Source organism: Homo sapiens, chromosome 16 (genome assembly GCF_000001405.40).
Source record: "Homo sapiens chromosome 16, GRCh38.p14 Primary Assembly".
Lineage (NCBI taxonomy): Eukaryota > Metazoa > Chordata > Mammalia > Primates > Hominidae > Homo > Homo sapiens.
The window spans coordinates 79,966,619-79,979,520 of NC_000016.10; the positions used below are offsets into that span (position 1 = coordinate 79,966,619).

The following is a 12,902-nucleotide window of genomic DNA, read 5'->3' on the forward strand; positions in this document are numbered from 1 at the left end:
AGCCCAGCCAGGTCAGCAGCATCCATGATCCAGCCTCATCCTCGGCCCTCTCTTTAATTCCTTTCTCCTGTATGGAATACCTCTTGGGTTCTGTGCCTTGAATACTTAGCTTTTTCTAAACTTTATAAATGTGATGCATCAATAAAGAATCCTGTAGGATATCTCTCCTCCACCTTGAAATGCATTCCTCATGGGGCTCAGATGATGTCACAGACTATATATTTTTTCCATAAGGTATTAATGCCTCCTATTTGGCAATCCACTTAAAATATGTGATCAAACCATTCAAAGTGATGTTGCTTATCCTAGATAATGGGGAAGAAGAGAGAACAACAAAATAAAAGAGTCACTTGTCAATCCACCTTTTCTCTGGGCAAAAATGTCCCCATATTCCAACACAAAGAACTAAATCCTGAAGGGTCAGCAATTGCATTTACTATCATAATTTATTTGGGTCAAGTAGATGGTATTGAATAGAGATGAGTATTCCTATTAGTTGTATCTAAAGCAAATCTCATCTCCCATCATGTATGTATGTGTGTATTCACATTTCATATGCACACAACCATAATCCATAGTACAAAGCACAACATGCTTTAGAACAAAACAAAATACTCAAAAGTTTCAAGCAGGCATTTCCTAATAATAGGTTTTCAATAAAGAATAACAAATATTAGCCTATCAGAGGAACTATAAATGTTAGCAAGCAAAGTAAACATTCTATTGGTAATTATTATTGGAAATGAATTAATATGTAAAACACTCAAAATGGCAGACTTTTAAAGCAAAAGTCATTGGGCTGGAGAAAGAATGTTGAATGATTGAACAAGTATAACATTGATATAATGTTGGCTATTTTGCCAAGAAGAGGAAATCGCAATTCAAGAGTTTTTATAAAGAATTATTGCCTACCTATCATGATTTTTAGACCACTTCCCAAATTGGAATGCAGTAGAATAGAAAAAAAAAAAAAAAACACTTGATTTTTCTCGGGTATCCACATTTTTTTTTTAATGGAGTCTCACTCTGTCACCCAGGCTGGAGTGCAGTGGTGCCATCTCGGCTCACTGCAACCTCTGCCACCCCTTGGGTTCCAACAATCCTCCTGCCTCAGCCTCCCAGGTAGCTGGGACTACAGGCATGCACCACTATGCCCAGCTATTTTTTGTATTTTCTTAATAGAGACAGGGTTCACCATGTTGGCCAGGCTGGTCTCAAACTCCTGACCTCGTGTTCCACTCGCCTCGGCCTCCCAAAATGCTGGGATTACAGGCATGAGCCACCATGCCCGGCCTCAGCCATCTTTTAAGGCCCTTCTTAATTTCACCTCTTTCTGATAAGATTTTCTTTGCAGGCCAGAGCTCATATTTCTTCATTTGTTCCATGAAATCCAGTTGAACTTTTTGCCCAGATATATGACATGGGGCAGCCTAGTCCAAGTTATCTTTGTTATTGAACTAGGGTATAGAGAGGTCTTTTTGGGTCGTCTGTGTGATTTCCTGCCCCTCCCCAATCTGTTCTCCTTTCAGCAGCTGGTGTCATCCTATTAAAACATGAATGTGTTCATATTATGTCCTTACTTTGAACTCGTTCACTTTTTTCAATAAGTGGAATAGAGTTCAGAGATCTTCCAAAGCTCACTAGGTCCTGTGTGATATACCCAACGCACCTTTACTGCCCTGCCCTTGTTCTCTTTGCTCAAGCACTACTGAGAACTTTCTGGCCAATGAATAAGCCACGCTCTTCCCTGCCTTAGAATCTCTGATGTTCTCGCCCAAATGCATGGAAAGCTCTCCCCCAATTTATTCTCAGTAGGTTTGGGTGGGACTCCAAAATCTGCATTTTTAATAACATCTCCAGGTGTTTTTAGTTTGTTTGTTTTATAAACATTCCTGCTTTAGAAAAGAGGGCAGCACATTTGTTCTGTAAAGGGCCAAGCAGTAAGTATTTTTGGTTTTGTGGGCCAGACAGTGCCTGTCAAGACGACTCAACACTTCCCACTGTAGTTTGAAAGAAACCATGGATAATACATAAATAAGTAGGCATGGCTAGTATTCAATAAGACTTTATTTACAAAAACAGATTTGGGAAAAAAAAGAGAGAAAAAGGAAACCAGATTTGGCTGTTGGCTGCTGCCCAGAGTTTGCCAACTCATTGGAATAAAGAAGTTCTTGAGCTGAAATATGCCTTAAAATCCCTTCAGGTGCACTTTCCACAGAACAGATATCTGTACTTCTAAAGGCATGAACATATGCATTTTTTCAAGTTCAACAAATATGTCCAATGGTCACTGCAGGATACCTATCTATTTATCCATCTGTCTATCTGTATTAGTCTGCTCCCACACTGCTAATAAAAACATACCCAAGACTGGGTAATTTAAAAAGGAAAGAGGTTTAATGGACTTGCAGACATGGCTGGGGAGGCCTCACAATCATGGTGGGAGGCAAAGGAGAAGCAAAGGCACATCTTACACAGTGGCAGGCAAGAGAAGTATAGAGTGAAGGAGGGGAAAAGCCCCTTATAAAACTATCAGATCTCATGAAAACTCACTCACTGTCATGAGAACAGCATAGAGGTAACTGACCCCGTGATTCAGTTACCTCCCACTAGGTCCCTCCCGTGACATGTGGGGATTATGGGAACTACAGTTCAAGATGAGATTTGGGAGGGGACACAGCCAAACCCTACCTCCATCTATCTGTCTATCTATCTGGACTAAAATAAGAACTTTAAAATATTTTCTTCCCTCCCATAGTAAATTGGGCTACCTTGAGAAGAAGCATCCATCCAATTCTTGGAATACTCAAGCAGGAAGCTAGTAAATCTCTGACAAAAATGATGCTCAGGAATTCCTATTTACACTCATTGAACGAAATAACACCATTATTTCCAAAATATTCCAGGGCTCAATGGTGTTCTTGAATTCGATCTTGGTATCAAATACAACTGAATTCAATTCCAGCTTTACCACTTGTAAGTGCTTAATCCTGAGAAAGCTTCTTAACCTCTCCAAGACTTGATTTGCTTACCTTTAAAATGGGAGACTAATATTTGTCTGGCATAATGCCAGTTTGGATACATAATACATAGATAAAGAAGCTACCCCAAGGCCTGTTCCCATAATAAGTTCTCAATAAATTGTGTGCATTTTCAGTATTGATATTATTAATGGTGGCCAGGCACAGTGACTCACGCCTGTAATCCCAGCACTTTGGGGGGCCGACGCAGGTGGATCACCTGAGGTCAGGAGTTCGACACCAGACTGATCAACATGGTGAAACCCTGTCTCTACTAAAAATACAAAAATTAGCCAGGTGTGGTGGCATGCACCTGTAATCTCAGCTACTCAGGAGGCTAAGGCTAGAGAATCACTTGAACCCAGGAGGCAGAGGTTGCAGTGAGCTGAGATCGTGCCACTGCACTCCAGCCTGGGTGACAGAGCAAGAATCTGTCTCAAAAAAAAAAAAGATTATTAATGTTAACATTTACTTGTTCCTCATTTCACTGCTTTGACCCTATCTCAGAAATTCCAAGTTGTACCCTGGAATGTTTACACACACAGCCATCAGTGTTAGATTTACATTTTCTCATCTCATCCTCTCGTGGTGCTTTGACAGGGCTGAGATCTATGTTAAATATCATCATTCATTTGTTGGTTTCCATTCTCTTTAACCTCATGTGTGTGTTGCCTCACTCAGTCATTCAAACGACCCTTAGCAATTCAGCTCATGAAATGTTTGCACGGGGCATTGAAATAGCTCTTACAAAAGGTTCTAGGTAGAGTTTCTGCCACAGAAACTTTCTCAGGCCATAAACAGCCTTTTAAAAAAAATATTTGGGTAAATGTTCACATTTTGAGCTCTTTTGGTGCTGAAGTTGTGGGCCCCACCTTTTGTGGAATTCTTTCAACTATCAAGACCATGTGAATCTCTGGGCTAAGAGGTCACCGTTTCTGATTCTGGGACGTGCAGTCCCTGCACATTCTTAGTCCAGGCCGGCAGCCCAGAAACTACCCTACAAAACATTTCGCAACACTGGCCTGAGTACAAGAAGTTATCAGTGTGAGCTTCCTACACATCCACATGGGGCTTCTCAGTATTTCACCTTTGGAGGAAACACAGGCCCAAATCGTTAGTTTCCAGAGCCACAGATGGTACAGATAAATCCCCAATCAATATGTGCAGTGATAAGTTCTTATCAGTGGGAATGGATCCTGGGAAGTGTTCACCAGTTGATATTATCACGCTAAGTAAGCCACTAATAACCCTGCTTCCTATGTCGTTCCTGCATTCTATAAACTCAATCCCATGCCTTAATGCCCACAATGGGTCTGGGTACTTTAAATTTCACATTTACCAGTGTTAAAATATAGCAGCAGGTAACTATTTCTGAATTTTGGACTCTCATTTTCTGGCCCCATTGATGGCCTCATATTCTGACTCCCATATTATGAGACAACGTTTTTACTTGGAAAGTAGATATCTCGAAGCTCATTATAAGAGATGTGCTGAGTCATTCAACGGTTTGCTGACTCATCAGAACAGCTTGGGAGCCACCATGTCCATGAGCCAGCTCTAAGCAAATTACATCCTCCAAGTTAATTAGAGCTGATGTTCATATTCCCCTCTTAGAAAGAAATCTTAAGGTCCATTTAATATAAGGAGAGTCCACTAGCAAAGCTTGAGTTTTCAAAGAAGTAATGATATGTCCTAAAGTCTCATATAATAGATTGAATACCTGTCTTCTCACAGATATGCCACCTTTCCCATGGTGTAGCCAATTCTCTCCAGGGCCTTGGCTTATTTAGTTCATTTCTTCTAGAATTTTAGAAGATTCTATCTATACCTACATATGTGACTAAATATATATAAAGCCTTATGGTACAATTGACTATTGGACAGTGGTTGCCAATCAGTAAAATGAACCCAGATTCCTATTGCAAAAAAACTGAGAGATAACAGTGTGTGCTGTTTTCAGCTCACAAGTGTTGGGGCAATTTTTTACGCAGTAACAATAACTAATACAATTAACTGATGGAAGCTTCACCAAAGAAATACTGGTGAATATGTGCCATGAAAGATGTGTGCATGTGAGAGCATGTGTGTCCATATCTTAAGAATACAGCAGCAGGTGGAAACTTCAGGATTTTGTCAAATTGTTTATGTGGAGGCTTATCAGCAGAAGGGGAGATGCTCTGCCTCATACATATTAGAAAATAACAGAAACAAGACAGTTGAGCTTCTGTTCAAATTTCAGACATGGAGGAATTTCCCTAGACTCAAAACCTTATGGAATTTGGAAGAGGTTCTGAGTTTCCTCATTGTATTCCTCATGCCTGACACAAAGCAGGCACAATAAATACTTACTGAACAAATGAATGAATGGACAAATGAATAAAGAGAATCCAGAACTGATCTGGTGTGAATAAATATGTTAATATCAGGTGAAAATTTTTAGGACGTGCAATTTCCCAGTTGTTTGGAGACATTCACTTTACCTCCCGGGTTGGTGAAGAGTTTGGAGCATGCCAAGGTCATGAGCATGATGGATAATGTTGCAGCCCAAATCATAAGTCACGATGTCTCAACCTAACTGTCTGTTAAGAGTCACTGACTCAGCATTTTACATTAGGAGTAACTGTTGTGAACAGGAACTAGGAGAGGATAAAAAGAGTTCACAGCTGAGCAGGTCACTTGACAGTAAGCTAGCCTGGTGCCAGGCCTTTCCTGCTGATGTGGAGCTCTGCCGTCCACAAAAGGACCCTGGATGGGAATGTGTCATTGCTGCATGACCCACATGCTTCTGGAATCTCCAGCAGGCTCCATCTCCCCAATGGCTCTGGATGTGCAGAGTGAAAACCACCAGTCACTCTGCTCTGAAACTGAAATTTCAGGGCCCCAAAGCATCAGGATGGCCTGTTAGAAATGCAGATTCACAGGCCCCACCCCAGACCTTCCCCATCAGAGAACAGGAGGGAGCAGGCAAGCAGCAATGAGTGTTTTAACAAGTCCTCAGGAGATTCTGACTCATGCTCAAGTTTGGTTTATGGTAAAGGAAAACTAATTTAGAGGATTCTGTAATGGTTCAGATGTGAGATAATGAGAAAATAACCAATGGATGCAACAGTAAGAATGGACATATGGAAGCAAAACAAAGATAGTTTATAAACATTAGAATTGCTTGGATTTGGTAGTTGATCAGATGGCAGAAGATAGATATGAAGGAAGACCCTAGGCTGGCTAAGGATTTTAGCTTGGATCTTTGGGTGAATGGATTCTGTATTGAAAGCAACAGGAGTTTCCTGGGACACTCGACTTTAAATGCCCAAACCAGAAACATCCTGGGCAAATTGAGACAATCACCCTAACAGAAGAGCTCTGCAAATAGATATTAATGATAATTACTATGGACTGAATTGTGTCCTATCAAAATTCCTATGTTGAAGCCCTAACCTCCTGTGTGACTATATCTGGAACTATGGCCTTTAGGAGAAAATTAACGTTAAATGGGTTCATAAAGGCTGGGCCTTCATCTGATTGAACTATGGCCTTATTAAGAAAAGAGAGAAAAAAAAAATATATATATATATATATCTCCCCGCCCTGTTAGGACACAGCAAGAAGGTGACCATCTGCAAGCTAGGAAGAGACCCCTCACCAGTACCTGACCATGCTCACACCCTGATCTTAGACTTCCAGCCTCCAGGACTGTGAGAAAACAAATGTCTGTTGTTCAGGTCACTCAGTCAGTGGCATTGTGTTGTGGAGGCAAACTGATCAATAACAATAAATCAATGACGATTTTATTGATCAAGCATTTATTATGTACTAAACACTATGAAATCCTTCACATAAATTATTTCATATAACCCTTACAACACTCTGTAAAACAGGAATAGCAATTATCCCCAATTTACAGATTAGTAGACTGAGGTAAATCAGGTTAAACCACTCACCCAGATTACACATCTATTAAGTAGCAGGGTTAGGGCACTTTTTCTCCATTTTTGATGGTACATTGGAATCACAGACAGTTTTTTTTAAATTCTGATGCTTGGGTCGAACTACCAGGGGATCTCATACAGCCAATGTTCACTAGAGGCTGCATACTGAGATATTTAAATCAGGCAAGGTGGAGGTCCACTGTGTTAGAATCACCTGGAAAACATGTAAAGAAACAGAGACCCACCTCACCCCAGACTAATTTAGTCTATAATCCAGGCACTTTCACATGTGACCATAGTCATAAATGGATCCTTGGTCTGCCTGACTCCAGGTGCTAGACAAGCTAATTCCTAGAATTTCTTAATTTCAAATATTTGCATGGAGGAGTTGTTGAGGGTATATATTCTAATATCCAGATCTGTATAGCTGACCAAGGGTGGAAATCAAGATAAAGATCTAAAATGGTTAATAGGAGAAAGCAAACTGAAATCACGATTCTCTAAGAATTAACTCAGGAGATGGAGGTAAATGTAAAGAATTCCAAAGAACATGATTGACTTTGTGCTGTTGAAATATTTTGTGTCTCCCTGAGAAAACAGCCCTCTGAGCGCAGCTGGATATTATTTTAGTTAGGATTTTGCCTGATGCATGAAGATCAATCCTATGGCTTTCCTTGACACATATAGCTAAATAGGACCAGTGACTCCAGGTGAGAGCTCAATACACTGAAGAACAAGTGATTAGCCCTGACTTGAGATTTGCTGCTTGGCAGTTGCTGTTCTCCATAAAATGCTTGAGATGTCCTGCGGACTTTGTGGTTTAACATCATTGATTCAAAAGTGAAGCCAATTAAGAAGCATTATGGGGATGTATCAGGGAAGAAACCTAAAGTAAAAGAAAAAAATATTCTCTGTGTTTACTATAGGTAATCCTACTGAAAAAAAATTTATCTCTGTGTGATAATAAAAACAAGTGAGAAGTAGAAGGGTCAGATGCTTATCTGTTTTCATTTCTTTTTTTTCTGTTGACTATTCTATTATTCTAGAATCTAAGTTGAGGATTTTTCTTTTATTTTCTTTTTTCTTTTTTTTTTAATAGAGTCTCGCTCTGGCACCCAGGCTGGAGTGCAGTGACGTGTTCTTGGCTCACTGCAACCTCCACCTCCTGGGTTCAAGCAATTCTCCTGCGTCAGCCTCCTAAGTAGCTAGGATTACAGTCGCCTGCCACCACACCTGGCTAATTTTTGTACTTTTAGTAGAAACGGGGTTTAGCCATGTTGGCCAGGCTGGTCTCGAACTCCTGACCTCAAGTGATCCACCTGCCTTGGCTTCCCAAAGTGTTGGGATTACAGGCGTGAGCCACCGTGCCTGGCCTAAATTGAGAATTTTATGAATTAGTAAAATATTCTATCTACTTCTTTGTCCTTAGACCACATTTCAGTTCTTGGAGCATTGTAAATGATCAATAAATATATCTTAGATGAATTATTTTTCCAAGCTATAGGATCATAGGACTTGTGCACTAAATAAATGATACAAATTGGTCTGAGTTATCAAGGAAGTCTTCCAGAGGTGGTGTTTTGGCTCAGTTTTGGAAAGAATCTGATAAGCCAAATCTCTCTCTATTTATCGTTTCGTAATAATTCTCTAAATGCATGATGTACCCTCTTTCTTTTTTTTCATTTTTTTCTCTTCTCAGTTCTTTCTTTGGCTTTAGATACCCTCTTTTATGAATTTTCAAGATTATACTTATTAGAAAATTTGACCAAATTTCTTAGAAAAATAGTCTTGAGAGAACTGTTGATGGTCCCAAACTGTTGGATAAATGGTTTCCATGTCGTAATTATCTAGGTGAGAATGACTCTGGACTTCCCTCGTGCACATAATCAAATGTTGTTAAATGTCAAAAATTTCTTTTCTATCAAAATGAACTGGCAAGAAAAGTTCACTAGTTTGCCAGCTTTCAGGGGGCTTTTTTAAGACTGGCAAAAGGACTCAATTGAAGAAACCACTTATTTAATGAAATTGGAGGCTCCTCAAATTCATAAATCAATTTTCAAATTGCAGGAAAAAATATTACTTTTTAAATGTCCCTAATTGTTATTCATTATTCTATGCCTGTGAAACTTCACCAGAGCGGTTTATTAATAAGGCAGCTCTCCAATAACATTATTCAGGCACAGAGGAGTAAAAATCTTAGAACCCACACAAATAATAGATGGTAGGATAGGCCACCTGATTTGATGTTGTTTGCTTTGGGCTAATTCAAAAAATAAACATGTTTTTGCGTGTTTTTATTTCTTGGGGTTCTTTTTCTTTTCTATTTTCTTTTAAGCAAAAGGAAAAAGGAAATTATGGACAAAAATTTAGGGAAGATTGTTGGAAATAACATTCACATCAAGTCTGGTTTTTCTCCTAAGAGTTATCCCAGTGAGCCACTCTATATATTGTTAGACTCAAAACTGGAGCCTTATGCCTCATCCCTACAACAGAAATTCTCAGGACCTACTTTGACCAACAAGGAAAGTACCAAGCCTCCCTGGGAAGTACTTTCATACATCCACCTGGACCATCCAGGAAACACCTGGAAATATCCTCAATCCTGAAAAAAAAAATTTATGGCTGTTTTTCCATAAGGGCGTTTGAGAAATGGAAGGTCTCTTTGATAAGCCAATGCCAAACAATTCATTGTGTGGAGGCTGCGAGTCCAGAGCATTGTTTTTCTGGGGGGCACACCATCAGGAAGCTAGCTTTGAGCTTTTACCTAAGGCTTGGATGGTTGGTTCATTCATCCCTCTATGCAGAGTTTTATTCATTCATTTAAGACCCTTCTCAATCGCTTGAACCTGGGAGGTGGAGGTTGCAGTGAGCAGAGATCATGCCACTGCACTCCAGCCTGGGTGACAGAGCAAGACTCCATCTCAAAAAACAAAAATAAAGAGGCCCATCTCAAACTCACTGATAAAAGGCCTCCCACATTGCCCTTCAGCTACAGCCAAATTTCTCTGCCCTTTTGACATGAAAAATACTACAGGGTTATAAAAACCCATGCTCTTCCCTTCCTCAACTTTCCTTCCTTCCATATGCCACCTGCACTGCTCTTATTAAGGTCACCAGAGACCTACATCTTGCCAAGTCCAGTGGTCAATTATCTGGATTACTTTCAGTCAATGATCAATGGCTCGGCTTCATTTGACATAGTTGACAGCTCACTTCTTCCAAAAGTACTCCAGCTTTTAAATGCCATCTATATACTGCTTTTCCTCTCAGTTATAGCTCCAACTCTGTCTTTTTCTTTGTGTTCCAGATTTGTCAGTGTAACATCTCCCTCAACTTCTTCACTAGGCATCTCAAACGTAATGTATCCAAACCAAAACTCTTCATTCATCTCCCCACATTCTAAACTCTTCCTCTGCCAATTTCCTTCTTCCACGTTAATGGCACTAACCACCACCCCATTGCTCAGGCCAAAAATCCTAAAACCCTAAGTCACTCTTAATTTCCAATTTTTCTTTCACTGCCCAGCTATGATTCTATGCCCAGACTATAGCTGGATTCCAACGGTAGGCAAGATAGGAAGTTCTAGAGACCAGCGCAAAATGCAATAATTCAGGAGAGATACGTGATGTAATTCTTAAAAGCCAGAAAGAAAGAATCACACACCGTGCCCATGTATTTGAAACAGTATTCTGTGTGATTAATTTTTGAAAATTAGATTAGCTGGTTGATGACCCTTTAGACATCGGCCAATGGCCCTGTAGCCCTGAATGGGTTACACTTGAGTTTGGGGTACTTGTTGTTCTTCTCTGCACAGCATCCTACTTTTCCTGGCGCTTTGTGGATCTTATGTAAAGATCCAAAAAAAATATAGCAGTCTCTGACATTTTCTCACATTCACAAGTCTATGGCCTTTTAACCTTCTTGCCCTTCAGTGGAAAAATAGGATAGGAAAAGAGTGTAAGAATCTTTTAGGTGGTAAATGACAAAAATGCAAATTCCAACCGGCTTTAGCAAAAAGGGAAGTTTGCTATTTCCTATAACTGAACACTGGGATGGGCAAGAGCTTTCTTTGCTGTGCATCCTGGCTTCGCAGATGGGCTTCGTAGTTGGGATGTCTTCTACCCTATTCCTTGTCACCAGCCCTTTATTCTTCAGATTCCAGCTGACCATGTTGCCAGGAAGCTCATGGGAGCACCAAGAGCGTCCAGGTCTTCTTGCCCTTGAACGTGATGCACATGGAGCCTGCTCTATGTGAGCATAGTTGGCTGAAGCCGGGAAATTCTAGTGGGTGTGAACCAGGCACAGCAGAGACCCCCACCTGCTCTCTGCTGTGCCTGGTTCACACCCACTAGAATTTCCCTGCTGCAGCCAACTGTGACCTGCTCCCAGGAGTGTTCCTTCTGACTGGGCTGGTGCCTTCCGTGGTGCTCCGTAGCATCCTGCAGCCCCTCCTTCACATTTTATTAAAATTGCTAACATTTTTGTCTACTTTTCCCATTCATCTGTGACCTCCTGATATGGTATGAATCTGTGTCCTCACCCAGATCTCATGTTTAATTGGAATCCTCAGCATTGGAGGTGGGGCCTGGTGGGAGGTGATAGGATCATGGGAGGGGTTCCTTCGTGAACGGTGTAGCCCAGTCCCTTTGGTGCTCTTCTCGTGATGGTGAGAGTTCTCATGAGAGCTGGTTGTTTAAAAGTGTCTAGATCTCTCCTCCCCACGTCACTCTCTTGCATGTAAGACACCTGCTCCCACTTTGCCTTCCACCATGAATAAAATCTCCCTAACACCTTCCTAGCAGCAGATGCTGCCATGCTGCCTGTACAGCCTGTGGAACTGTGAGCCAATTAAACCTCTTTTCTTTATAAACTACCCAGTCTCAGGTATTTCTTTATAGCAATCGAAGAACAGACTAATACACCTCCTTTGTTCACTTCATGCCTCTTTATTCACAGCACTGGAGTCTGCTGGAGACCTAAGAAGGTCCTCTTAACCCCATGAATGTCTGCTCTATCTAACATTTTGCCTGGCTTGTTAGGAAGATGGGAGCCACATAACACTGTCGCCATCTTTGCCATTAATCATAGCAGCTCTGATGATTAAGTGACAGTGTATGTGCTTCATGTTGAGCTTATGCTAGAAACTCTGCTAGTCCCTTTACGGACTTCAGGCATTAGTCCTAGTAGAAAGTTATGATCATTTACACATTTTAGAGACAAGTAAAATAGAGCTCAGAAAGTAAACAGCTCATCCTTGGCCACACAGATCATAAGCAGTAGATAATGGAACTATAATAATTATTAGATACACCTGTCTATCAGAGTGCAGGGAGATACTGACCCCTCACCTGACTTAGCACCCCACCTCTACAGGCTCACCTCCTACAACTCTCTCTCCCCATTGCCAGCACACTGCAGCCTCCTTGGCCTTCTCTCCATCCTAGGGCAGCCAACCTCACGACCTGCTCAGAGTCCTCCATTCCTAACGCTTTCCCCAGAGAGTTGCCTGCACAGTAGCGCTTCTCATCCGTGGGGTCTCAGCTCAAAGTCATCTCTGCTGGGAGCTCCCAGGAGCTCCAGATGAACTAGGTCATTCCCCTTGTCACTCTCAACCCCTTCACAGGCTTTTTTTTATGAGTACCTGTAGTCACCTGTCCTCGGATGCATTATCTCTCGCCTAATGGAATGCCCACTCTGAGACAGAAGGGAAATTGCATCTTTTATAGGGGAAGATTATAAGCTGATCTTAAAAATGTGCAATTATCATTTTATAACTGGTGAGACTATTGAAGGTATTTATTGAAAATGCATATACTTTCAGAATCTTGGTAATATTTTGGTGTTTTGTTGGGAAAAGACTTCAGCTTTGGAACCTCACTTCATGTAAGGAAGGTACTTTAAATATAGCAGTCTCTGACATTTTCTTACTTTCAGAAGTCTATGGCCTTTTAACCTT

The 12,902-nt window shown here is 40.9% G+C and overlaps 3 annotated features.

Annotated features, from left to right (window-relative positions):
- Positions 4,442 to 4,586: an enhancer, noted in NCBI's record as "145 bp enhancer 24 fragment used in the MPRA reporter construct; PK_construct_3572". NCBI's record gives its function as "activates an SV40 promoter by MPRA in HepG2 and K562 cells {active_cell/tissue: HepG2 | K562}" and the evidence as "EXISTENCE:reporter gene assay evidence [ECO:0000049][PMID:23512712]".
- Positions 4,509 to 4,519: a transcriptional cis regulatory region, noted in NCBI's record as "NFE2L2 motif; enhancer activity is reduced when this motif is scrambled". NCBI's record gives its function as "necessary for full MPRA enhancer 24 activity {active_cell/tissue: HepG2 | K562}" and the evidence as "EXISTENCE:site-directed mutagenesis evidence [ECO:0005528][PMID:23512712]".
- Positions 5,566 to 5,772: a silencer, noted in NCBI's record as "fragment chr16:80006081-80006287 (GRCh37/hg19 assembly coordinates)". NCBI's record gives its function as "represses an EF-1alpha promoter that drives an FKBP-Casp9 reporter gene in an ReSE screen in K562 erythroleukemia cells {active_cell/tissue: K562}" and the evidence as "EXISTENCE:reporter gene assay evidence [ECO:0000049][PMID:32094911]".